We start from the raw sequence: 27,174 nt of genomic DNA, 5'->3' as shown, positions 1-27,174 counted from the left end.
ACAGACTGGGGTAAGTGGGAGGTGTCATTTTTCTATTGTCCATAGGCTACATAGCACTTATTATATATAAGGCACTGTTCTAAGCACTTCACATAAATTAACTTACTTTTCACAAAAGGTTTTGAAGTTATTATCATTCCCATTTTACTGATAAGAAAATTGAGGCACAGAAAATTTAGGTGACTTTCCCTGACTGACATTGGAAAAGTCACTCAGTTAATAGATAGCCAAGCTGGGATTCAAACTGAGTAAGCCTGGCTCCAAAGCATACACTCTTACTGTGCTCTGTCCACATCTTCTCCATGGGAATAACGACCTCTTTGTTCATCAGGAATGTTTCAGAGGCACCTAGGAGACTAGGCTTTTTCCAGCCCCACTATGTCTCCTGCTATATTTCCCTCCTCTCTGCCTTATGGTTATTACTCATTTATCACCTTGGATTGCAGGCTGCAGGCAGAAAGGACCTTTGTTCCTTTTCTGTACTACAACAACCCAGCTTCACCCTAAGCTTGGCTCTTGTTTTATGGGACCATATTTCAATAAGTGGAGAACTCTTTCCAATATCCTGAATTTTTATCTTTCAGATTACCTAAAACTATAACCTAGTCTGTATGTGCTCTGGGTTCCAAGTACAATTAAATGACAATTTAACTTGCTGTTTGGTTTCCCATTATCAAATCTACTCATTTTCTTTCTGACTTTCACTTAACTTTAGCTCCATCAAATGCATATATGGGAGTCTATCACTTATGACTCCCTATTCTAAGCAACAAATTTTGTATTTGTGATGAATCATCTGTGAGCACATGTCAGAAAACCAACTTCAACTGGCTTTAATAATAAACAAAAGCACTGGCTTAAGTGCTTCAAAGTTCAGAGAGATTTCTGGCTTCGAGAAAAGCTTGAAACAACACCACAGACTTGTCATCAAGGGCTCAACTTCTCTTCATCTTTTACTTTTGGCTTTTACGATGTTGGCTCCATGCCTAGTCTCCACACAGTAATCCCTGCTCCGTTCAGCAGGCAGTTCCAGGCTCTCTCCTCACAAGAGTAAAATGGCTACAGCAGTTCCAGATCTTGCAACTTCACACCGCACTATCCAGGGTAAGAGGAATCGGTTTCTCTTTCAAGGCACAGAAATGTCTTGACTACACTGTGTGGTTAGGAAGCGAGAGGAAAACATGTTGGTTGACTAAAGCCTCTAGGGATCCACCATGGAGCCAGTGGTAGAGGTAATCTCCCCTGAATCTCACAATGAAAATAAGAGATGAGTCTTTCCAAAGAAACCCCAGAAAGGTGAAGAATGGTGTAGGGTCCCCGAGGCCCCCTGCTTTCTGTCTGTGTCCTGACTGAAAATCACAGAGTGTCTTGACTGGTCTGTGACCCAGCCGGCTGCAAGTTTTTTTCCAGCAGGCTTGAACTCGGATTGGGGCCTTGAACACACCTCGGGACTGATAATGGTACCTAGATTGTTGCACAAAACACTGAAAGAAACTAGCCATGGCCCTGAGCCAGGAATATATTTCCTTAAGGAATATGGAATAAGGAATATGGTTCCTTAAACCTGCATAGAAACTCCCATATCCTGACCCCTTCACTGTGGACATGCGAGGGGGTCAGATAATGGAGTTTATATGCGGGCAGAACACTCCTTTTCTCTTACTATTTGTCAGGAGCATTGCTGCAGCACTCTGTAAGTTTCCCTAATAAAGATTTGGGCTGATCACCCTGGCCTTTAGTGCTTCTTTCTTTAGAATCCTAACTGGCCTCATCCGGGGATGGTTTGGGGTACTCCCTTGTGGAAACTTCCCTGCTGCTGCTTTTGGGTGATTCCAGCTGTGAGTTCTGTGGAATGAAACAAATAGATATTATGCCATAAGTAAGAGAGGTCAATCACAGTCAAACAGAGTCAATGCCACGTTATTGACTAACTTTTCTAAAAAGTTTCATGGGTTGGAAAGATATAAAGAATAAAAAATATCACTTCAACAGAGTTGTAAACTTCTGCTCTAAGATAAGTTATCTAGGTCGCTACTCTGGGAATGCCAAATTTTAATTAAAAAAAATTATTTTATGTATCTTTGATGAAATAGTGATTTTTTTTACTTTTTTAATTAAGAAAAGTAATATTTTCATGTGCCTCCTCAAAGATATTTTCTGATATATAAACAAATCTGATACATGAAAAGTTCACCAATAAATTTAGAAATAATCACTGTAAATCTGAATTTCTTTAAGCTTTATTTCTAATTGACAAATAATAATTGTGTATATTTATGGGTGCAATGTGATCTTTTAATATAGGTATAACATTGTAGAATAATCAAATCAGAGAACTAAAACTGTATATAAATCCCCCAACCTACCTTTTCTATATAAGCAATGGGTTATCTACTAATTTGTAACTTTTTAATTAAGTGATCTTTCAGGGTTTTTCCACTATCAAAGGAAGAATTTCTAAATCCATGTTATTTCAAGTAGATTATAATATAAATAATATTTTCATCTCTATCTAGGAAAGCCTACATTAACTAATCCAAGGAAATTAAAATCTATCAGACTATCATACCATATCAAGCTTACATTATAGAAGAAAATGCTTATGTATGTGTAGATAATGGCTTCTCAATTTGAAAGAAAATATCTCCATATGACAGTCTTTGAACTAAATGATGAATTAACACAATGCTTTTTAAATTCAACATTTATCATCTTTGGGTTTTAATCCCAGAGATAATGTAAAATTTCTCAAATCAAATAAGTTTAAGTAACTAACTTCAGTTTCACAAATGGGTGTCAAAAGCATGCCAAAATAATATAATCGTTATATTTGTAAAAGACTGTTTTTCAGGATGTATAATCTCTGCTCTTACAATGCATCGTATAATCTTACTTTAATAAAAATACCCTGAGGGCCCCAACACAATTTATTTCACTGTCAAAATCTTTGGGTTCCCAGCAACAGCACAAGGCTCTTCTATTCTGAGGTAGCTGGACTCTCAGAGATCTGTTTGGAAAAGTAAGACAAAGGATTTGTGTGATAGTTTATCATCTACCTGAATTACTGTTTTAAAAAGATATCAGAAGCTGGCTTTGGTCATTTGGGGGAAGAAAACGACTAAAAACGATGTATCAAAAATATGTGAGAAAATATTCAGTTGTTTGGAACCAAGAAAGTTCCAGATTCAGAATCTGGACAAAGGGTAGGAGACTTCACAAACATGGCAAGTAGCAAAGGCAGAAATCCTTGGTCAGCAGATGATAAAAGAAGCATGCACCCCAGCTCCCCAGCCATGAAGCTAATGCAATTTAAGGGCCCGTCTTTTGCACAAATCCCTTCCAAAGTCTGGACAAGAAACCAACACGGTATTTACATGATCCTCAATTTCTGTAAAACTTTCAAAAGTAAAATATTGTAAAAATAGTCAGTGAAGACTTCTGTCTACCCTCTGATTCCTTCCATCCCACTCTGCCTCTTGCCTGGAGATATTAGGGTAGTTGTGGCCCTGGCTGAGGGGAATTTTAGTTGGAGTTACATTTACCTCATATATGAAAAATATATGAATATATGAATTGTATAGAAGTTCCCAAATTTGACAGTTCCTAAAAATGCACCTGACATAACCAATATCAAGTTGTGAAACTACCAGAAGCTTTTCTACATTATCAATTTTTAAAAACCCACAAAATTTGGTACTTCCATCCATGGCAGAATAACTGGATTCAGACTTTACCCTCCCATAAAAAGCAACCTTATTAATGTACCAAATATATTAAATAACTATTTTTGGGCATTAATCTACAAACAGGACTTTGATTCTTGAGAGAAGAAAGGCACATGTGGAGAATCCCACATTTTTCCTGGCTTTCTCCCTCAGGGAAAATTTCCCAGTGGTGAAGCAGGGAGTTGAAACCCCAGCAGAAAGCAATGGTCTTGCTAAGCTGAGAAAGCAGAATTTGGAGATTAGGGTGCTGAGGTGGCTGGAATTTCCTGAGCAGGGCTTTAGAAAGGAAGGAGCTACATAAAGAAATAGGCACGGGTTTCCCCAAGGGTCTTTAGGAGAAGCTGGGCTGCATATGTGCAAGGCAAAATTCTGTAAGGCCTAAGAGAAATAGTGGCTCTGGGACCTAATGCTGAACTGAGATGGCAGATGTTATACAGTGCTGGGAATTTTGGAATTCTGGCCCAGACAGAATGGAGAGACCTTGCTAAGCACCACAATCACTCAGCTGAGACCCAAAAAAGCTACACATGTGAAGAGCCATGCTATACAACAAAGAACAAAACACTCAAGTGGAGAAGAAGGATATGATAATATCAGGCCCCAATCCACATGCGTATTAAACAGAAAACCTTCAAAAGGAAGCAGCAGAGTATCACAATAGGTTGGCAGAGCACAGAGGCAGGACTTCCTGGGAGGCCTGGAATCATTAGTGTCAGGGAAGTCAGGGCTCAGCCACCAACACGGGATTTAGGGCAGGGCTCCTGAGAGAGCATGGTAGCATTACAGTACCTGAGAAACATGGCAGATTATCAAAACCCAAAACCCTTGTTATGAGATCAGGACTCCAGGTAAGAGAAGTTGGGCATAAGGTTCAGACTAACTGCAAATGGAAAAAATTTGGAGGTAGAACTGTTTCAGTACCTCCTGTCTCCAGTCAGAGTCAGCTCTAGAAATTAAGAACAGGACAGACACTGCATTTAAAAAGCTAAGTGGTCCCGACTACAGCGATCACTTAGATCAATAGTAAAGGAAGATGGAGAATCAAACAATCTGTGAAAGGAAAAAGCTGTGTGACTCTAAGTCTGGGTTCAGAGGAGACAACAATGACCGTAACTAAACAGGAGAGAGCTCAATGGAGGGATGCTGATGGAGAAGCAGCACAGTGCAGACCCATGTGGGCAAGGCCTATGAGACCCTCTGATCAGAACAAGGAAAGCAACTTGCCTCCACAGCAAAAGTGCTTGGGGGACGAATCTTAGTTTTCTTCCTGCTGTTTTAAATGCATTGTCTGGTTCCTAATGAGGACAGCATTTCACTCACAGACCAAGACAGCAGTGACCATTATATGCTTCTAAAATTGCCAACAAGTGCATAAGTGAAATAGGGTTATGTTCTCAATACGGCATTGACATTTGCTAGATTGACGTTGTTAATGCAGTCAAAGAACTAATTAACAATCAAAGGGAATATTTTCACCACACTGAGCAGTCTGTAAGCCGACTGCCTCTGAATACCTTCGAAGTCCTAGGAAATCAAGCATTAGGAATGTATTCTGGATCCTTCAGGCCAGAAACAGCCTTGCCAGTGATAATTATGAGACTGACTGGGCCTAACAACAAAGAAGAGAATGAGCCAATCTTGGTAACCAGGAGTTTTGGGATGCAGAGTTTGTTGATCTGTTCCAGTAGCATTTGTGTTTGTTTCTGCAAAAACAGTTTTTAAAAAATAGCATCAGAACTAAGAGATAAAACCACTATAAAGGAATATATAATATCATGAACAACTATAGCTGAAGTAATTGTGTACCGAAAAACACAAATAAGTGAACTTAATAAACTAATCATCAGGGTGGTTACATATAAAAATGCATATAAAATCAATACTACTCTACCATTTATGCTTCTATTTCACTCACTGATCTAAAATTTTATACCTAGATTTTTATTATTACATTTTAATACTTTACATTATTCATCTTATCTTTAAAATTTGTTTTAAAATTTATCTTTTGATTATGTTGGTAATCAGTATAATTACTTATATTTATCATTTAACTGGTTTTACTACTCACTACCAGTGTTTCTACAATACAGATTCACTGTTCTCAAAGGGTTTTTTAATGGTGATATAATTTTTTCTCATTTAGAGGCTATCTCTGAGTAATATCAGGTATGAAGCTTGTGTAGTACATTTTCTGAGTTTTGCATATTGTGGAATGTGTTTTTGCTGCCACTGCACAAAGGAGGCAATATGCTCACAGGTGGGATCTTTAGTCAATAACATTGTCATCCTCTCCCTCACCACCATATATATTGCTTCTAGCATTGCCATCTGGCAACAAAGAAATCCTAGACGCACTTAATTTTTTTTTCTTACACAAATAATCTGATTTTTCTTACTTGGATGTTTGTGGAATATTTTTTATTTATCCTGTGAAATTTAGATACCTCAGCATGATATGTCTAAATACTGGTTTCATTTCATCAATGCTGCCTGCTTCTCAGTGAGACCCCTTATTCTGCAGACTCAACGCTTTCTTCAGTTTAGGAAAGTTTTGTGTAGCTATGACTTCAGTTACTGATTTTTTACCATTTGTTCTGATCTCTGTTCATTTATCTGTTATGTTGATTCTCCTTAATCTTTCATGTTTCATCTTCACTGTCATCTCCGTATCTCAATCCTATCGCCTTGTATCCTAGAATAGCTTCTCTAATGTGTGCCTTACACCACATTCCTGTGGTGTCAGTGTGAGAGGAGGAATAAACAGGTAAGAAACTAGTAAATCTTCCAGAGGACAGTGCTTTATTGCTCCAAATACCTGCCCTAGGCTAACTTCACCCTAAATCACTATAGTAAATGACCACGGAAAGTCAAAAGGAACAAAAACTTACTGAACATTTCGACACCTATAGCTAACACAGTATTTCAACTGACAAGAGGCCTAAGCATGATGAAGTGTAATTGTGACAGCTCCGACAACTTTGCGGTCCACAAGTCGAGCGGATCACTGGAGGTCAGGAGTTCGAGACTAGCCTGGCCAACATGGTAAAATCCCGTCTCTACTGAAAAAAATACAAAAATTAGCCGGGCGTGGTGGCACATGCATGTAGTTCCAGCTACTCAGTAGGCTGAGGCATGAGAATCGCTTGAACTTAGAAGGCAAAGATTGCAGTGATCCGAGATTGTGCAGCTGCACTCCAGCCTGGACGACAGAGGGAGACTCTGTCTAAAAAAAGGAAAAAAAAGGTAATCTGCCATTTGCCATTTGATTAACTTATCCATATAAATTTGTGTACATTTATATAAAGTTCAAATTGTCTGAGTGGGTAGTAATTTAAATTATGGCACATATATTTTATGAAATCTATATATCCTAGAGGCTTTTAAGAATTTGGAAAATGCAAATTAGAGAATTATAGGTAAAGTACAAGACAACAGTAAACACATAAAAATGTTATCAGTAGTGATCAAAAGTGATGACATTATTTTTCTATTTTATTTTCTATTTTCAGAGTTTAGAAATATTTTATTTGGAGTACATATTTATCTTGTGTAAAAATAAGCTACATTTAAAAAAAAATTCTACTCATCTTTCAAGTCTCATCTTAATACTGGTTCCCCTATGATTTTTCTTTCTTTTATCAGACCAACATAATATATTGCTCTTTCACTTCTAAAGCACTGCATAGCAATTTTCATGGAACTTTGAACATGCTACTTTACTTTCAATTTTTTATGAGCATAGAAAGGAGGACAGTCATGTATATTTCTTTATAGGACTTTTAACATGTAGTTCAATGTCTAAATTATAGTAGGTGATCAATTAATGTTGTTTGTCAAATAAGCCTAACTCATCTCAGAACAGGTTCTATGTTCCAAACAAGCATGGATATTTTCCCCATACAATTGACAGATATTTTTAAAAAGTAAAATTCTAAAAGAAGAAAATATGTTTAATTACATTTTGTATCACTAATATAATAAAAGAAAATCGGGCATATCAGGAGGGGGATTCCATTCAATTCTTTTTAAAAGAAAAAAAAGTTTCTGATAAAACCTGGACACCCAAAACTCTCACTAAGCTTTTTGGTCCATTACCTGCTGGGATCATCCAATCCTCAGTCGCTGAGCATTGCCAGTGTTTCCTGCTAGGCAAGAAGCACTAACTGTGATGCTATAGCAAATATCTTTCAGATCACCACCAAGGACTGGACTTTTCCCTTTGACCTGAACCATTGGATTAACTACCCATTGTCAAAGTACTACCACCTGCCTGAGTTTGGAAATCACCCATGATGGAAACTATCATTGATGCTTACTCCCAAGGATATAAATGTCAATCCTAAAATATATCTGCCCCTGTCATACGTTTTTGGATACTCCAGTTGAATTGTTCAATCATATCCATTGTGGGCCAATTCCAGAGCTATGTCAGTTTCCCTACCCCAGTCCAGCTTTCTTTCTTTTGCCAGAGACACATACTGCAAAAGTCCCTACGTGCTTCATGGTGATGGCTGTCCTGTTGCTGACCTGTCCTTTGAGAGCGAAAAAAAAATAGTGATATAATGTTTTCTCTTTATGTAATACAATATCAATTTGGATTTTTGTAAATATTAATATACTTTTCATAGAAAAGGAAATTTAGTCAAGCACTGAATGGCCACTGTACTTAAACAAGGGGAAAAGTTACAAAGATCCTAGTCTCCCTGTTTAAATATATCTCCAATGAGAAGCAGAAGGAAAACCCCTGCCCAGTAAATCTTCAGTATGTGATGTAAGGTCTAAACTTGAGGCTCAATATTATGTACTGCCTTGACATCTGGTGAAATCAGAAGGGCTTTGAATAGCCTAACTGCTATGTCCCCTCCCAAACCTGCTCCTACAGATAAGATTTCCTAGCCAAATGGCCCTCCTTATCAAAGGCACCAGACACAGTTTCTGCTTATTCCTGAGTATTGGGTTTCAATTTCCTGCCAACTTGTAGAATCATTCAAACAAGCTGATCACATCTTCCACAGGAACCAGGGGACACATCACCCTTTTAATTCTACAAAATCTGCCTTCTGCAGCCCCTGGCTGTTCATTCTGTTTCTGAGTCCAACCCCTGTGTGACCCTGGATGACATATGGTGTCCTCCTCCCTGCAAGCTGTGAATGTATGTGACTAATAAATGCTGTCCATTTCATCTTTTTAGTGTCAAGTGTCATATCTTCAGCCATCCCCATAACCTTAGGGTGGGAATCCCTCTGTCACCAACTGAGTGAATAGGAGGCGATTAAAACACATAAGTAAGAGAACTTCTTGAAAATGTCTGATATGCTCATGTATATAAATTTATTCTTATCATTTTTCTTCTTCAGAATGACAATCTTTGGAAAATGTAGTTTCTTGTAAAATCTTGGCCTGGCACTGTGTCTCACGCCTGTAATCCCAGCACTTTGGGAGGCCAAGGCAGGTGGATCACCTGAGGTCAGGAGTTCAAGACCAGCCTGACCAACATGGAGAAACCTCATCTCTACTAAAAATACAAAATTAGCCAGAGTGGTGGCACATGCCTGTAATCCCAGCTACTCGGGAGGCTAAGGCAGGAGAATTGCTTGAACCCGGGAGGCGGAGGTTGTGGTGAGCCGAGATTGTGCCATTGCACTGCAGCCTGGGCAACAAGAGAGAAACTTCATCTCAAAAAAAAAAACACAAAAGCTTCACAATTTGATATATCTAGAATGATGGGTCTGGGTCAACAACTGTATACTCAATATTACTCTCATTTTGACTCTCTTCAGCACACCAGACACACTCAGCCATATCCAGAACTGCAGGTCTCCATTTCCTTCCCATAAAGCTTTCAAAGTACATACACTGAAAATATTGTAATGATTATAATTAGCATTCAAGTCCAGGGCAAGGCTTTCTTTGAGGGAAGGACTACAGAATGCAGATCTTTTAGAGCACTGACGGAAGAAAATTGCTCCTAAAAAAATGTTTTCTTTTGTTTTGTTATTTCACTTTAAGTTCCCCGATACAAGTGCTGAACGGGTAGGTTTGTTAGACAGGTGTACGCATGCCATGGTGGTTTGCTGCACCTATCAACCCTTCATCTAGGTTTTAAGCTCCACAGGCATTAACCATTTTTCCTAATGCTTTCCCTCCCCTTGACCCCCATGCCCTGACTGACCCCGGTGTACATTGCTTCCCTCCCTGTATCCAGGTGTTCTCATTGTTCACCTCCCACTTATGAGTGAGAAAATGTGGTGTTTGGTCCTCTGTTCCTGTGTTAGTTTGCTGAGGATGATGGTTTCCAGCTTCATCCATGTCCCGGCAAAGGTCATGATCTCATTCCTTTTTATGGCCGCATAGGGTTCCATGGTGTATATGTACCACATTTTTTTTATCCAGTCTATCATTGATGGGTATTTGGTTGGTTCCATGTCTTTGCTATTGTAAATAGTGCTGCAATAAATATATATGTGCATGTGTTTTTATAGTAGAATGATTTATATTCCTTTGGCTATATATCTAGTAATGCAATTCCTGGGTCAAATGGTATTTCTGGTTCTATATCCTAGAGGAGTCACCACACTGTCTTCCACGATGGTTGAACTAATTTACATTCCCACCAGCAGTGTAAAAGCATTCCTATTTCTTCACAGCCTTGCCAGCATCTATTGTTTCTTGACTTTTTAATAACTGCCATTCTGACTGGTATGAGATGATACTTCCTTGTGGATTTGATTTGCATTTCTCTAGTGACCAGTGACGGTGAGCTTTTTTCATGTTTGTTGGCCGCATAAATGTCTTCTTTTGAGAAGTGTCTGTTCATATCCTTTGACCACTTTTTGATGGGGTTGTCTGTTTTTTTCTTGTAAATTTGTTTAAGTTCCTTGTAGATACTGGAAATTAGATCTTTGTCAGATGAGTAAATTGCAAAAATTTTCTCCCGTTCTGTAAGTTACCTGTTCACTCTGATGATAGTTTCTTTTGCTGTGCAGAAGCTCTTTAGTTTGATTAGATTCCATTTGTTAATTTTGGCTTTTGTTACAATTGCTTTCAGCATTTTAGTGATGAAGTCTTTGCCCATGACTATGTCATGAATTGTATTGCCTAGGTTTTCTTCTAGGGCTTTTATGGTTTTGTGTTTTACATTTAAGTCTTTAATCCACCTTGAGTTAATTTTTGTATACGGTTTGAGGAAGGGGTCCAGTTTCTGTTTTCTGCATATGGCTAGCCCAGTTTTCCCAGGACCATTTATTAAATAGGGAATTCTTTCCCAATTGCTTGTTTTTGTCAGGTTTGTCAAAGATCAGATGGTTGTAGATGTGTGGTGTTACTTCTGAGGTTCTGTTCTGTTCCACTGGTCTATATGTTTGTTTTGGTACAAGTACCATGCTGTTTTTGTTACTGTAGGCTTGTAGTACAGTTTGAAGTCAGGTAGAATGATGCCTCCAGCTTTGTTCTTTTTGCTTAGGACTGTCTTGGCTATACAGGCTCTTTTTTTGGTTCCATATGAAATTTAAAGTAGTTTTTTTTAATTCTGTGAAGAATGTCAATGGTAGTTTGATGGGAATAGCATTGACTCTATAAATTACTTCAAGCAGTATGGCCATTTTGATGATATTGACTCTTCCTATCCATGAGGTTAGAATGTTTTTCCATTAGTTTGTGTTCTCTCTTATTTCCTTGAGCAGTGGTTTGTAGTTCTCCTGGAAGAGGTCCTTCACATCCCTTGTTGGCTTTATTCCTAGGTATTTTATTATCTTTGTAGCAACTGTGAATGGGAGTTCATTCATGATTTGGCTCTATGCTTGTCTATCGTTGGTGTATAGGAATGCTTGTGATTTTTCCACATCGATTTTGTATCCTGAGACTTTGCTGGGGTTGCTTATCAGCTTAAGGAGTTTTGGGGCTGAGATGATAGGGTATTCTAAATATAGAATCATGTCATCTGCAAACAGAGACAATTTGACTTCCTCTCTTCCTATTTGAATACCCTTTATTTCTTTCTCTTGCCTGATTGCCCAGGCCAGAACTTCCAATACGATGTTGAATAAGAGTGGTGAGAGAGGGCATTCTTGTCTTGTGCTGGTTTTCAAATGGAATGCTTCCAGCTTTTGCCCATTCAGTATGATATTGACTGTGGGTTTGTCATAAATGGCTCTTATTATTTTGAGATATAGTTCATCAATACTTAGTTTATTGAGAGTTTTTAACATGAAGGATGTTGGATTTTATTGAAGGCCTTTTCTACATTTATTGAGATGATCATGTGGTTTTTGTCTTTGGTTCTGTTTATGTGATGGATTACATTTATTGATTTGCATATGTTCAACCAGGCTTGCATGCCAAGGATGAAGCTGACATGATCACGGTAGATAAGCTTTTTGATGTGCTGCTTGATGTAGTTTTCTAGTATTTTATTGAGGATTTTTGCATCAATGTTCATCAGGGATATTGGCCTGAAGTTTTATTTTTTTTGTTGTGTCTCTGCCAGGTTTTGGTATCAGGATGATTCTGGCCTCATAAAATGAGTTATGAAGGAGTCCCTCCTTTTCAATTGTTTAGAATAGTTTCAGAAGGAATGGCACCAACTCATCTTTGTACCTCTGGTAGAATTCGGCTGTGAATCCACCTGGTCCTGGGGTTTGTTTGTATTTTGTATTTTTGTTGTTGTTGTTGTTGTTGTTTGTTTGTGTTTGGTTGGTAGGCTATTAATTACTGCCTCAATTTCAGAACTTGTTATTGGCTTATTCAGGGATTCAACTTCTTTCTGGTTTAGTCTTGGGAGGGTGTATGTGTCCAGGAATTTATACATTTCTTCTAGATTTTCTAGTTTATTTTCTTAGAGATGTTTATAGTTTTCTCTGATGGTAGTTTGTATTTCTGTGAGGTCAGTGGTGATATCCCCTTTATCATTTTTTATTTGATTCTTCTCTTTTCTTATTTGGCCAGCTAGTGGTCTATTTTGTTAATTTTTTCAAAAAACTAGCTCCTGGATTTATTGATTTTTGAAGGGTTTTTGTGTCTCCAGCTCCTTCAGTTCTGCTCTGATCTTAGTTATTTCTTCTCTTCTGCTAGCTTTTGGATTTGTTTGCTCTTGCTTCTCCAGCTCTTTTAATTGTGAAGTTACGGTGTCAATTTGAGATCTTTCTAGCTTTCTGATATGGGCATTGGAAAAAAATGTTTTCAAAAGTTCATGACCCAGAATCAAAATGCTTTGAAACTGTAGCTTGAATGAGCATTCCATATTTTCCATCTGTATCTTCATTTCTTTGTGCTTTTTCTATCAACCTTAAGGAAACAGGGGCATGATTTAAAGAGAGATGTAACAGGACGCAAATTGTCTCCAAACTTAGTCTTTAGCTATCACCTTGATTATGAGCTAGAAACTTGGCATCCTAAAGACTCCATTTTCCAGCCTACCTTGCTTCTACATGTGACATATATTGTGTGAGGCTCCTGTGAAGTCTTCTTAAAGGAAACATCACATCTCTCTCCTCTCCATTTTCCTCTTTCCTGAAGGCTGGAATATGACATGAGGACTTGAGCTTGAGCAGCTATTTTGGACCATGAACCGAATGTCATGGATGAAATAACATCAAAAGAAAAAAATTGAGATTGTATAAACTAATCAAGCCACTATACTAGCCCCAAACTGCCTATCTCTAGACTGTCCCACAAAAAAAAAAAGTAAATGTCTAGTTTGTTTACATATCTGTTACATGCAGCTGAACTTCCTTTGAACTGACAGAGGTAGTATACCTAGAACTGCTATTCAACCAGTTTACAACAGTATAGTCATGCTATACTGAAATCTAAAATTCTGCCACATAGGTTACTGAGGAAAAACACCATCTAATAATCTTGCATAGCATCAACAAAGGTAGGAAATTGAGAATGCAAGTCTTGCCAGTATAGACATGGGACATTCGTGGTGGCTGCTGAGCTGGTGGCAGCAACAGTGCCAGTGGCATTTTCTGATCCCACCTGCTATTTTAAAGTAGCTCAAGATTTGCAAGGACAAAGTAGCAGAGCAGATGGCAGAAGCAGTAGCACACTGGCAGCAACATTGTCATCACTAGTTGATGACAGTGATAGCCACAGTCTGATTGAAACTCAGGCTCTCCGGATATGCACATGAAGGCAGGGCAGCCAGCACAAAAGACACAAAAGTAACAGGTGCCAGGTACCTATCCACTTTCCATTTACTGTAGCTCTTATCCCCCTTATCTATGGGGGATATGTTTTAAGCCTCTGGTGGATGTCTGCAACTGTGGATAGTACTGAAACTTACATATGCCATGTTTTTTTCTTATACTTACATACATACCTATGATAAAGTTTAATTTATAAATTTGGCTGGCTGTGGTGGCTCATGTCTGCAATCCTAGCATTTTGGGAGGCCGAGGCGAGTGGATCACCTGAGGTCAGGGGTTCAAGACCAGCCTGGCCAACATGGTGAAACCCCGTCACTACTAAAAATACAAAAATTAGCTGGGCATGGTACCAGGCACCTGTAGTCCCAGCTACTTGGGTGGCTGAGGCAGGAGAATCGCTTGAACTCAGAAGGCAGTTGTTGCAGTGAGCCGAGATCACACCATTGCACTCCAGCCTAGGTGACAAGAGCAAAACTCCATCTCAAAAAAAAATAAAAAAAAAAAAACAAAGAAAAAAAAGTGTAATGTATAAATTAGGTGCGTAAGAGATTAGCAACAGTAATACTAAAATGGAACAATTATACTATAATTCAAATTATGTGAACGCGGTCTTTCTCTTTTTCTCTCTCAGGATATCTTATTTTACTGTACTCATTTTTTGTGATGATGTGAGATGATAAAACGACTGTGTGATGCTATGAAGTTAGGTGAATGATGTAGGCATTGTGACACAGTGTTAGACTACTACTGACCCTGTAATGATACATCAGAAGGAGGAGCATCTGCTTTGGGTGAGTCTGGTTGATGGAGCCATGATAGGGTAGATGGTTGGATGTCTGGAGCAGACAGTATTGACAACAAATGAGCAGGTAGCTTATACAGTGTGGACATACTGGACAAAGGGATGATTAACATCCCGGGCAGGACAGCCCAGGATGGCACAAGATTTCATCACACTAATCAGAACAGTGTGCAATTTAAAACATATGAATTGTTTATTTCTGGAATTTTCCATTTAATATTTTCAGACACATAAGGGAACTACCTATTGGAGAAGTCATTGGAACACTGCTATGTGGCTCACAATATTAAATCTGGACTCAGACAGGAGAAACTTAGTGAAATGATAAACAAAAGATTATATTATTGACTTCTAAATAAATCAATAACTGATTTGAAAATTATTAAATTGGATGAATGATTTATATAACTAAGTAAGCAATTGTATAATTATAGATGTGTGTCATACACATGTCTAATTTAGAGAACAGAATTTTAAATGCATTTTATTTACACATTAATTTGTATTACTTTTTGAATATCACCCCTGAGCATGCCTAGATAGAAGCCAGTCTTAAGTTACAACTTTGTAACTTAAGAAGTTAAGAAGTTAAGAGAAGCTACTGTTCTACTTTTCCCACTCTGAATATCAGATTATTGACTACATTTGTCACTAAAGTCAAACCCAGTTGTGATTTATGTGTCTATAAAAATAGCTGAAGAATATGTAACTTTGGGACTTCATCTTTTTAAAAAGAAGACACTGATGATGAAATAGCGTGATGAACGAAGAACTATGAAACACACACCATAAGAAAAGAACAATAAAGATGTAACAAGCATGATAAACATAAGCTACGAAACACGGTGAGTCCAACATTAACTTTCAATCCATCTTCAGTAGGACAATGGTGAAGCCATTAGCTAGGTGTCGATAAGGAAAATACATCTCTTCTAGTCTGTCAACTGTTTTGATTTTGTCATGATTCATGGATCCTCTTCTTTCAGGTTTCATACTCTAACAATTAGTTATGGAGGTTGCTCAGCTTCTTGTATCAAAGAGTTCATAAAGAATTGAAGAGAATTCTCTCTCCCCTCTCAATAGCTCTTTTGTCAGACTGATTTAAATACAGAGTCTTTATCAACTGTATCTTGTAAGATGTTTTTTTACTCTCAATTATGATCTGCATAATTGTTACCTCCAGTTTCTAAGAGCGGTGGCTCTCAAATATCAATCTTTTGACCCACTGCATCAGAATCATTTGGAGAATCTGTTAAAAATTTAGATTTCCAGGCTATGCTTCCATAATATATTTTAGGTACGGCCTAAGAAATTATAGTTTAGCAGTATGTCCAACTCCCAAATTGAAAGCACAGCCAGATTTGGGAATCTGGTATTTAGAGGAAGGCTGCCCTTACTGCCCTGTGGGGCTGAAGCACTGCTCTGACTTCACCTTTCCTATCCAAGTTCTCTGGGATCTTCCCCTTTCCATAGCTATTGGGTGGAGAACGGGAAAGGGTATGAAACCTCACTCTTAAGGTGATAGATTATTTTCCAGATTTGAACTGATATAAACTGAATCTGGAAAAGTGCATTTCCTAAAAGACAGAACTCTCATTATGTGTTTCCTCCTCAGAAAAAAACATCACATGCTTCCCATGGTTCCAATCATTTCGGGTTTTACTAAGTTTCATGTCCACTCTCAGGTAACTAATTTAAATAACCCTGAGAGCTTACAATAGAGAATCATGCTCTCCGTTGAACATGCAGAATAAAAAAAATGCAGAATAAAAAACTAAAGCATAAAGTATAATTCCCAAGCATAGATGGGGCAGAGATCATCAGACAGAGGCAGAATGAAGAATTTTTAATTTCAACCAATTTGAGCAGTCAGATGTGAACCTGATAACAGAGGAGGCAATGGGTCAGGAACCCAACAAGTCCTGCAAATTGAGAATCCTAAAACAAATCTGAGGTCAGGAGAGAGGAGAAAATGGGTTAATTCCGTGGTTTTAGGCAAGGCTGGAGAGATCAACAGCATCTTGAAGGTCAAAGGAGGTACAGAATCCAACAGCTTAGAGAATTTGAAGCAGAGGCATTCATGAGTAGAAACAGTAAAGAAACACTACACCTAAGTCAGTGAGATATTCTCTCTGCTTCCTTGTATACCTCCTGTTGGCAAAGTGTGGCCCTGAGACCACAGGTGTATAATCACTGACAGAAGATGATTAGAGAATAAAAGGTACACTCTGTACAAGAATGAAGTAAAGACAGAAGTGTGACAATTACTGGAAGCTCTTAAACAGTAAAAGCACCCAGCAGGCAATTCCTTCCTCTGTGTTTATTAATTCCTCCCCTGCATCTGACAAGGTACAAAGGTAAGTTTTGCTCTCTACCTGCTGTATGTTTACAGGGTATAAAAGACCTGGAGAAATCTTTCACCTCAAGTCTCTCAGGCAGCTTAATTCCTCATTAACTTTCATAAAGGCCAATTCAGTGAGTCAAACTCTGTTCTGTTGTTGCAGAAATAAAAATAGTTTAACCAGCAAAAGATTCTCGAGTCCACTTGAATTTAAAGATAGAAATTAATAATGGCAACTATAGAGTGCTTGGGTCTCACAACAATGTAGAAAAAAGAAAAGACTAAACTACAACCTTGAGCAAGTCATTTAAACTCCCTAGGCCTCAGTGTCATTGATTGTAAAAACAAGAGGATAACACTTGCTCAGAATATTTCATGAAATTGTGATAAGGCTTAAATGAGTTAACATACACCAAAGCACTTCAGAAGAAAACAACTATCAATATCATCATTAATATTTATCTATTTGGCCAGTATTTTATTTTAGTCATATTCTCATGAGTATTTGATTGCAAACAATTGCATTTTGATAATACAGAAAGAGCAAAAAGATACACAAAATGGTCACAAGTAAAACGGTTATGTGATTTTTGAAGAGAATGCAATAAGAAAATCCCACATCATGGAAGGAGAAAATATTATCAAAATGTAACACTATTTCTTATTGTCATATACATTTTCTCCTTTTAAATCACACATTAGAGAAAAATTGTAAGTAGTGTTAAATAAGATGCCGATTTATACTTCTTTATTTTATTTATTTTTTTATTATTATACTCTAAGTTTTAGAGTACATGTGCACAATGTGCAGGTTAGTTACATATGTATACATGTGCCATGCTGGTGTGCTGCACCCACTCACTCGTCGTCTAGCATTAGGTATATCTCCCAATGCTATCCCTCCCCCCTCCCCCGACCCCACAACAGTCCCCAGAGTGTGATGTTCCCCTTCCTGTTTCCATGTGTTCTCATTGTTCAATTCCCACCTATGAGTGAGAATATACGGTGTTTGGTTTTTTGTTCTTGTGATAGTTTACTGAGAATGATGATTTCCAATTTCATCCATGTCCCTACAAAGGACATGAACTCATCATTTTTTATGGCTGCATAGTATTCCATGGTGAATATGTGCCACATTTTCTTAATCCAGTCTATCATTGTTGGACATTTGGGTTGGTTCCAAGTCTTTGCTATTGTGAATAGTGCCACAATAAACATACGTGTGCATGTGTCTTTATAGCAGCATGATTTATAGTCCTTTGGGTATATACCCAGTAATGGGATGGCTGGGTCAAATGGTATTTCTAGTTCTAGATCCCTGAGGAATCACCACACTGACTTCCACAATGGTGGAACTAGTTTACAGTCTCACCAACAGTGTAAAAGTTTTCCTATTTCTCCACATCCTCTCCAGCACCTGTTGTTTCCTGACTTTTTAATGATTGCCATTCTAACTGGTGTGAGATGATATCTCACTGTGGTTTTGATTTGCATTTCTCTGATGGCCAGTGATGGTGAGCATTTTTTCATGTGTGTTTTTTGGCTGCATAAATGTCTTATTTTGAGAAGTGTCTGTTCATGTCCTTTGCCCACTTTTTGATGGGGTTGTTTGTTTTTTTCTTGTAAATTTGTTTGAGTTCATTGTAGATTCTGGATATTAGTCCTTTGTCAGATGAGTAGGTTGCGAAAATTTTCTCCCATTTTTTGGGTTGCCTGTTCACTCTGATGGTAGTTTCTTTTGCTGTGCAGAAGCTCTTGAGTTTAATTAGATCCCATTTGTCAATTTTGGCTTTTGTTGCCATTGCTTTTGGTGTTTTAGACGTGAAGTCCTTGCCCATGCCTATGTCCTCAATGGTAATGCCTAGGTTTTCTTCTACGGTTTTCATGGTTTTAGGTCTAACGTTTAAGTCTTTAATCCATCTTGAATTGATTTTTGTATAAGGTGTAAGGAAGGGATCCAGTTTCAGCTTTCTACATATGGCTAGCCAGTTTTCTCAGCACCATTTATTAAATAGGGAATCCTTTCCCCATTGCTTGTTTTTCTCAGGTTTGTCAAAGATCAGATAGTTGTAGATGTGCGGCGTTATTTCTGAGGGCTCTGTTCTGTTCCATTGGTCTATATCTCTGTTTTGGTACCAGTACCATGCTGTTTTGGTTCCTGTAGCCTTGTAGTATAGTTTGAAGTCAGGTAGTGTGATGCCTCCAGCTTTTTCTTTCGGCTTAGGATTGACTTGGCGATGCGGGCTCTTTTTTGGTTCCATATGAACTTTAAGGTAGTTGTTTCCAATTCTGTGAAGAAAGTCATTGGTAGCTTGATGGGGATGGCACTGAATCTATAAATTACCTTGGGCAGTATGGCCATTTTCATGATATTGATTCTTCCTACCCATGAGCATGGAATGTTCTTCCATTTGTTTGTATCCTCTTTTATTTCATTGAGCAGTGGTTTGTAGTTCTCCTTGAAGAGGTCCTTCACGTCCCTTGTAAGTTGGATTCCTAGGTATTTTATTCTCTTTGAAGCAATTGTGAATGGGAGTTCACTCATGATTTGGCTCTCTGTTTGTCTGTTATTGGTGTATAAGAATGCTTGTGATTTTTGCACATTGATTTTGTATCCTGAGACTTTGCTGAAGTTGCTTATCAAAGTAAAGCCGATTTATATTTCTAACAAGATAGTTGGTCAATTTCGCTTTTGACAAGAAAATGTCCAAGGAACATACGGACTTAGAGAAAGAAGAGCATGAGAAAGGAGCATATTCCTGGCTAGACCTCTCTTCCACACTCTAATAGAAAACTCTATCAAATTAGTATTGACTTTGTGTAGGACCTCTCATACCTTATCCAGATAATTCTGGGGGCTTACAACCAAAGCAGGCTAAAAGACTTTGTTTATTTGTACATCAATGGTCAAACTCAAATCTCTGTGCTCTTATCTCTCCAATGCAAGTAAGGATTAACCAAAAGCATGTGAACAAGTGAAAATTTAAAAAAAACAAAGGAGCAAGAGAGTTTGTGCCAGTGCATAGAGGATAGCTGGTATTATCTATATACTCAAACACACTTGGTGCTTTCTCAGGCATCAATATAGCTCACATGTGAGAAAATTAAAATTACACTGGGAAATGACACCTTGAAGTGCTCAAACTTAGCCCTTTCTTTGAAAGCTATAATTGCTGAAAATGTGGCCCAATATCTCAAAATAATAGTCACTGGTGATATAGTCAATAAATGTATGCCTAGTCAATAATGCTTTATACTAAATTCCTTCTGTAGAAATAACTGCTATGATATCTGTCTTCTGATTGAACCCTTGACTGATATAAGACAGCTGGCATTCAAGCCAGTGGCTAAAAGGCATCGACCAAAAGAATTAGTAAAAATAGAGAAGGCAAGAGTTTCAGGAACTGAGCCTTCAAGCACGCCAACTAATTTAAAGGTTTAGGGAGATGATAAGAAAATAGTAAAAATAAGATGAGAAAAAGTTAGCAACTAGTGAGGTAGAAGAAAAACTACGTAATATAATATTCTGGAAGACAAATAAAAAATGATATTTCAAGGAAGAGAGAATAATCAATGGATCCAGATGGAAATCATAAGTAACCTATCAGTAGTAGGGGAGAACACTTGGCAAGTATGTATCTAAAAGAGATTAGTGCTTATGATCTTAGTATCAAATAAGTCTGAATTCAAGGGAAAATGCATAAAATTATAAAAATAGAGTGTTTTATAATTATAAAATGCACAATTTATAATGAAGTTATACAAGTTACAAATATATGCTCTAAATAATATTTATAAAGCAAAAATCACAGAAGATACAAAGGTCAATAAATGAAAATATATTTAAAATAACAGATTCAAGCTGGGTACGGTGCCTCATGCCTGTAATTCCAGCACTTTTAGAGGCCAAGGTGGGAAGATTACTTCAAAGCCAGGAGTTTGAGACCAGCCTGGGCAACAAAGTAAGACCCTGCTTTTACAAACAATAAAATAAATTAGCTGTGTGTGGTGGCAAGCAACTATAATCACTTATTTTGAGCCCAGAAGTTTGAGGCTGTATTGAGCTATGATAGCACCAGCCTGGGTAACAGAATGAGACCCCGTCTCTAAAAAAATAATAATGAAATCACAGATCTTCATTTCCTCTCTTAATTGACAGCAAATCAAATGGACAGAAAACATTTTTTAAGTATATAAATATTATATATAAAGTATCATATATAAGTATCATATATAAAAAGTAGATGTAATTTATATATATATATATATATATTTCTATACCCCAAATATAGGTAATATGCCTTCTTTTAGGGGGCATTGTTTCATGAACCAGAGGCAATATGCCCTCCTGTCCATGAAACAGTCAGAAAAATTGACTATATATTCAACCACTAAGCAAACTCCAATAAATTCCAAATTTATAAAGTATAAAGATTACAGGAAATATTCTCTGACCATAAATAAACCAGGAAACAAAAAATCCTGCAACTGATATATTACATTAGTGCCACTCATCAATATTTCCAGTATTTCTACTTTTTGTCATTCCAGGACATAATAGGACTGTGTTTCCCTAACATTCTTGAATTCATGCTTATGGGACTTGCATTAACCAATAAAATCTGAACAGAAGTATTTAAGGGTGTGCTGCAGTGACTGGCATCATTCCAGATGGTTCTGTTTGAGGATCAATGGAGCACAGCTCCCAACTGACCCTAATGGATATGTACTATGAAGTTACTGTTAACCTATCCTGAATTGACTGATACAAACCTTCAGAATTTTTGGAAATTTAAATTGAAATTGTAGAACTCTAGCCCCACAAAAAGATAAAAACATCAGAACCTATGAAAATACACTTTTTAAAAAGCTATGCTTGAAGTACACATAAAAATATACAGGACGAACTTTTCTTCTAAAGTATTGCCATTTTGGTGACCGAGCTCCAAAACCCCTAAGTCTCTCTGCCTCCCTTCTCTAAGATTCAGATTTCCAGGAAATAAAATCTAATTGGTCCAGCTTGAATCAGCTATCTGACCAAAAGCATGGGGTTCAACAACACAGACATGGCCTCTTAGGGTTTGAGGGCCCTCCACTGTGTTTTGAGGCCATTTCCAGAGGGGGATAACTATAATTTTATTACATCTCACCCCTTAGTCATATGCTGCCTACAATGATTCAACTATCTAGATTCTGGACTCAGTTATGAGGTGCACCAAGACATGGTTCCTGGATGGACGATCTCTACATGTTCAGTTGTTTCCCAGTGAGGAAGAGCTTGGCCTTAGTTATGCAGGTCAAGTAGGCAGAGTTAGCACTCTGAATGGGAAGTAAATAACATATATTGAAAGCTGTTTGTTCCTTACTAGCTTCTATGAGAATTAAACTATAAGTCTATAAATTGATTAAGTTTCATTATAATGCTCATTTCCTGTGTATAAGCTATGTGAAGAGAGATTGTGCTTATAATATGGGAAGAAGCAACATATGTTTCTTTGAATTCATCATTTGCAGTAGTTATGCTCCAACTTTGTTTTGGCATAGTTTTTTTATATCATAACTCCTAGAATCACCACAAATGTCTAGGGCAGGTTTTCTAAGCTTTTTCTCTTGTCCTCTCCATCTAAACAGAATTTTTATCCAACTTGACTCTTGTCTTTGATGGGACAAAAACCAATTTTTCTCTTTTTAATTCAGCAAGGCCCATTCTTTAAACAGCTTCCAGACGCAGAATATATATTCCAAGAGGAGCCATGGACATCCCTAAACCCTCTTCAGTGGCAAAAGTGGCAGGGAAAAGAGTATCCAGATGGCTGTGCTGGAAGTCTTTTCTCTCTTCTGGATCTACCCAGGGATTGATTTCTGATCAAACAAATGCGACTGGACTCCTTTCAAGGTATTAAATATAATTAGCTGTTAATTGTTATCGTTAAAGGACTCTGCTGAGTGGTATCAAGGCACCATCTGGATAGCTTATCACTTTCACTGGGGAAATCCCGAAATCTCCATCTAAAAATGTGTGTGTCACTTGCAGGCATTTACAATACCTGTCAACAACCTTTGCATCCGGTGGGAAACTTGTCACAGATGGTTGAAATTAAAGACAGAAATACTCTCTTTGTTGGTCAAAATTCTACTTTGTAGTATTTATACTTCTTTAAAACCATCAGGTTTAAATGAGGATAAAAATATAAGAGAACATAGATATGTATGTTTTCTTGTATTTTAAACACCATCTATATCATCTCAGCATTTGGTTGTAAACAGCAGAACATGACACAGATCATCTGAAGCAAAAAGAGAGAGAGAATTGATTGGAATTATATTGGACTACTGGAAGACCAGCTTGAAAATCTGACAGGTCCCAAGTAAGCTCTGGACGGCTATGCAGAAGATACCCAGGGGATGTCAGACAACTCTAACAGACTCTGTATTGTGCTATCACTTGCTCAAGATCCAAAATCTTACAAAAGAACACCTGTTGTTCAAGTCTGTGTCAGAGTTTTGCCACCTGATTCTATCAAGATGAAGAAAGAGGAACCATCTTTGGCTTCCACACCTAGAGATGGACACTGCCTTCAAGTAAGTGATCTCCAAGTTAAGATGAAGATACCATTATGAAGCAGGTGTGGAAGCTCAACACCCCCAAAGTGGCAAAGATTAACTAAATTATTTTACTATAAATCAAACCCCTCTATGACAGGTAAAAAAATCGGTCTTCCAATCATATTTTGAAAATCATTACTGATTCAATCATTAACTAAATGTATGTTCACATTGTGGTAAGGATGTATTACAAGGAAATCCTGAGAACTTTGGATGAAGTGGTACATTCCTTACCTTTTGAGACCCATACCACATAAGAAAACAAAATGCTTTTCTCCAGAATAGAATACTGGTCTCAACAGGCGATTTTCATGACACGTTATAGGGTTTTTAAAGTTTCATTAATTTTTTTATTTATTAAATTCATATGAATCTACTAAGTTGTTTATGTGTCACTGTGTAATGTTTTGCTAGATGGATACAAAATAGTACTTAATACTGTCTCTAATTGAAATCTAAGTGGGAAAATAAGACATATCTACCCAAAATAATTAGTAAACAGGGAAATATATATACTTTGATGGAAGTCAATTAAAATTTTATATATCCTGAAGCCTACTTAAAAGTACATTTTATACAAACAATATTCAGTTCCCAGCACGTCTTGTGTGCTTGGAAAATAGATATGACAAAAATCCAATTTAATTTTGCCCTTCCCGTCTGCTATTCAACAATTTGCCAAAATGTTACAGGCTTGCTCCATCTATCCAGATATTTGGATGTGTATTATCTAGTTGTAGCAAACGATCTCCTCTTCCCTTTTTATCATGTGAACTCCAGTTCATCCTTCAAGATTTAACTCAGATGTACCTCCTGTGAATTTCTTGATGTACACACTATGGATCTGTGGTCTGGACACCTTGTCTCTTGTCTTCTTAATGGCACCACGTCCTAATGACTTAGTAAATTTATGTCCACTCTCCTTCCCTATTCCACTTCTCTTCATCCATCTCTTAAACAGAAGAAAAAGTACCAATAGGACTCAAGGACAAAATGGAGTCCTAGAGTCATACACATAAGCCAGCAACCATAGAGTGGCACCTACAGTGGGAGAGTGGAAGGAGGAGTAAAATGTTTATATAAAGAGAATTTCATGGGGAAAATGCTGGCCCTTAGAGAGCCAGGTCAGTCCAGAAGTTCAAAACAATTAAATTATGACCCCTCTACATAATTCCACCTCTTTCCCTCCTTCTGCATGTTTAGCTGGTTGATTAGTAACTGTACTATGGCAATTCTTATGGGTTAACATTACCATTGTATCTTAGTGAAAAATGAAAGCTTCAGGCTCTGCACCTCTATTGCAAAATCAGTGTAGCACTAGGGCCTACTGTAAACATTCCTACAAAATAGATATATCAGTCACAGTCATACTCATCCGTGATTTTAATGGAGGTCTAATATAAAGAATTTGTGAATAGGATAAAAGGATTAAGGCAAAAAGCAAACAGTGAGACACCAAGAAATGGTACTTCAAAAGCAGCTACTCATCCAAAGGTCCTAAGAACTTAGAAGCTTGGAAGAAAAATCCTGATGACCTGGACATAGATCTCTGAGGAAGGAGAGCTGCTAGATGGCCTAGTACCTCCAGAGCTCAGAGGACCGCCCCTGCAGAGCTAGGACTGAGACTTATGGGGAGAGGACCATCTGTTTACTGTTGGTAATCCTGGTAGATGCAACAAGGCTGGTACGAGAATATAAAAAAGCAAATGGAAACTGGAGCCACCTGGTGCTATTGGAAGCAATTACTGCATTCAGAGTGATGCTCCATTGCTATTATAGTCCTGAAAGGATCAAGAAACAGAAAGAAGCCATGATCTCCTTTTCCTCCTTCAGCCTTTCAGTTTCTCTCTAGTTGCCCATAATAATAGCACCCAATAGGAGCCCGCTGGCGAAGGGAAACAGTATTCAGAATTCCAAACACAGTCCTATAACACCAAGGCTGGGAGAAAAACACTTCATTATCAGTAGGAAAGGCAGCAGGCAGGGAAGAAATCTCTCCAGGTGAAGTTAGATATCAGTTCTTTTCCTTGCATTGCATCTTTTTAGGTTTCATTTCTCATAAGGTTAAGTTTCCAACTTTTAACTGAGGCTGTCTGAAAGATAATATCACAAGCCTCATAATTAAGGCCTTTTCCTCATCATAATTTCTGATCCAATTAGAAATCATTTTTAAAAATAACTAAAAGGATATAATTGAATTGTAAAACACAAAGGATAAATACTTGAGGTGATGGATACTCTATCTACCCTTATGTGGTGATTACTGTATTGCACGCCTGCATGAAGATATCTTGTGTAACCCATAAAACATATACACCTACTATGTACCCACAAAAATTAAAAATATTTTTTAAATGCAAACATCCCTTTAGTTCCCAGGGACAGGGCTTTCCTGATCTTGCCCAAAATTCAGAGACCCATTTCACTCTGAAAATTGTTCCTGAACCTCTGGATAAAGGAAGAACTGCCACACGCAGGAATTACTAAGCCCTGTCTCTCCATAGCCACGAGCTGCTAGTCCTATTTTGCTTTCAGAGTTATCAACCTCTGTTTTTTAAAACAAAATTTTTATCTCAGAATACTCTTCTCTGAACAGCATTAACCAATACAGACAAAAATGAATGGTAGATGTCCCATGAGCCTTAGAAGGCTGTACACCAGCTGAGCACTGAGTACGGTTTTATAAGTGAAATAATGATGAATGGTTTTTCCATACCTAAGCACAACATTGAGTTAAAATCAACACTGCATGACTCATTTTTAAAACTCTTCTGACAGTTCTACCCTTTAGGTTGGCCTTAAGCCCGTCTTGCCTTTATGGGCCATCAGATTTGTTCGGTGATCTCCAACAGGCAGCAGTCTGGAATACCTGCAGCTTAGTGGCTCACGATGCAGGAAATATTCTTGCCTGACTTTGAATCTATTAAAGCAATTTCTTCCTCTCTGATTTTTACAGCTAATGTCCAGTTGGCCAGTCAACCATGGCTGCAATGAAAGGAAAATGACTTTGGGGAAGTAACATGGACTTCTTGGAGTAAAACAATCAAGGTAGGAAAGATCCTATCCAGTTTATTCTCTCCCAATTTTAGAAAAACATCTTTCACACTTTTCCTCAAATATTGAGCCATATAAAATCATTGTTCAATTTAACTTTAAATTAACTTTAACAATGACAACTTAAGGTACTGTGTTAGATGGAGTAAACCAAACAGAGTCTTAAAATGTAAAAACTATTGACAATCGAGTAGGAATAACACACTTTTTTTTCTCACTTAACATTTCAACCTAACCATGGAGATGTGGGAATTTATGTCCATTCCCTTTAGATTTTGTGTATGTTCTGCAATTGCTTTAATCAACACAAAACTACAGAAGTGACACTGTACCTGTTTCTGTGCCTAGGCCTTATGAAACTGACAGCTTCCGCTACCTGTGTCTTAGAACAATGCTCTTGAAAACCAGCCACCATGCTGTGAGGAAGACCAAAGAATCCCATGGGGAAGCCCACATAGAGAAGAACTGGAAGTTCCAGACTGAAGACCTGCTGTG

General features: G+C 37.7%; 1 long non-coding RNA gene across 1 annotated transcript; it reads left to right on the top strand.

Moving 5' to 3' along the window:
- Positions 1-970: 970 nt before the first annotated feature.
- On the top strand, positions 971-27,174 carry LOC105376187 (uncharacterized). Its single transcript, XR_930187.3, has 3 exons — positions 971-1,104; positions 26,582-26,673; positions 27,028-27,174. It is a non-coding gene; the product is annotated as an uncharacterized LOC105376187 (long non-coding RNA).

This window comes from Homo sapiens, chromosome 9 (genome assembly GCF_000001405.40).
Source record: "Homo sapiens chromosome 9, GRCh38.p14 Primary Assembly".
NCBI lineage: Eukaryota > Metazoa > Chordata > Mammalia > Primates > Hominidae > Homo > Homo sapiens.
Note: the sequence above shows the minus strand (reverse complement) of the source record. Positions and strands in the feature narration are given on the sequence as shown.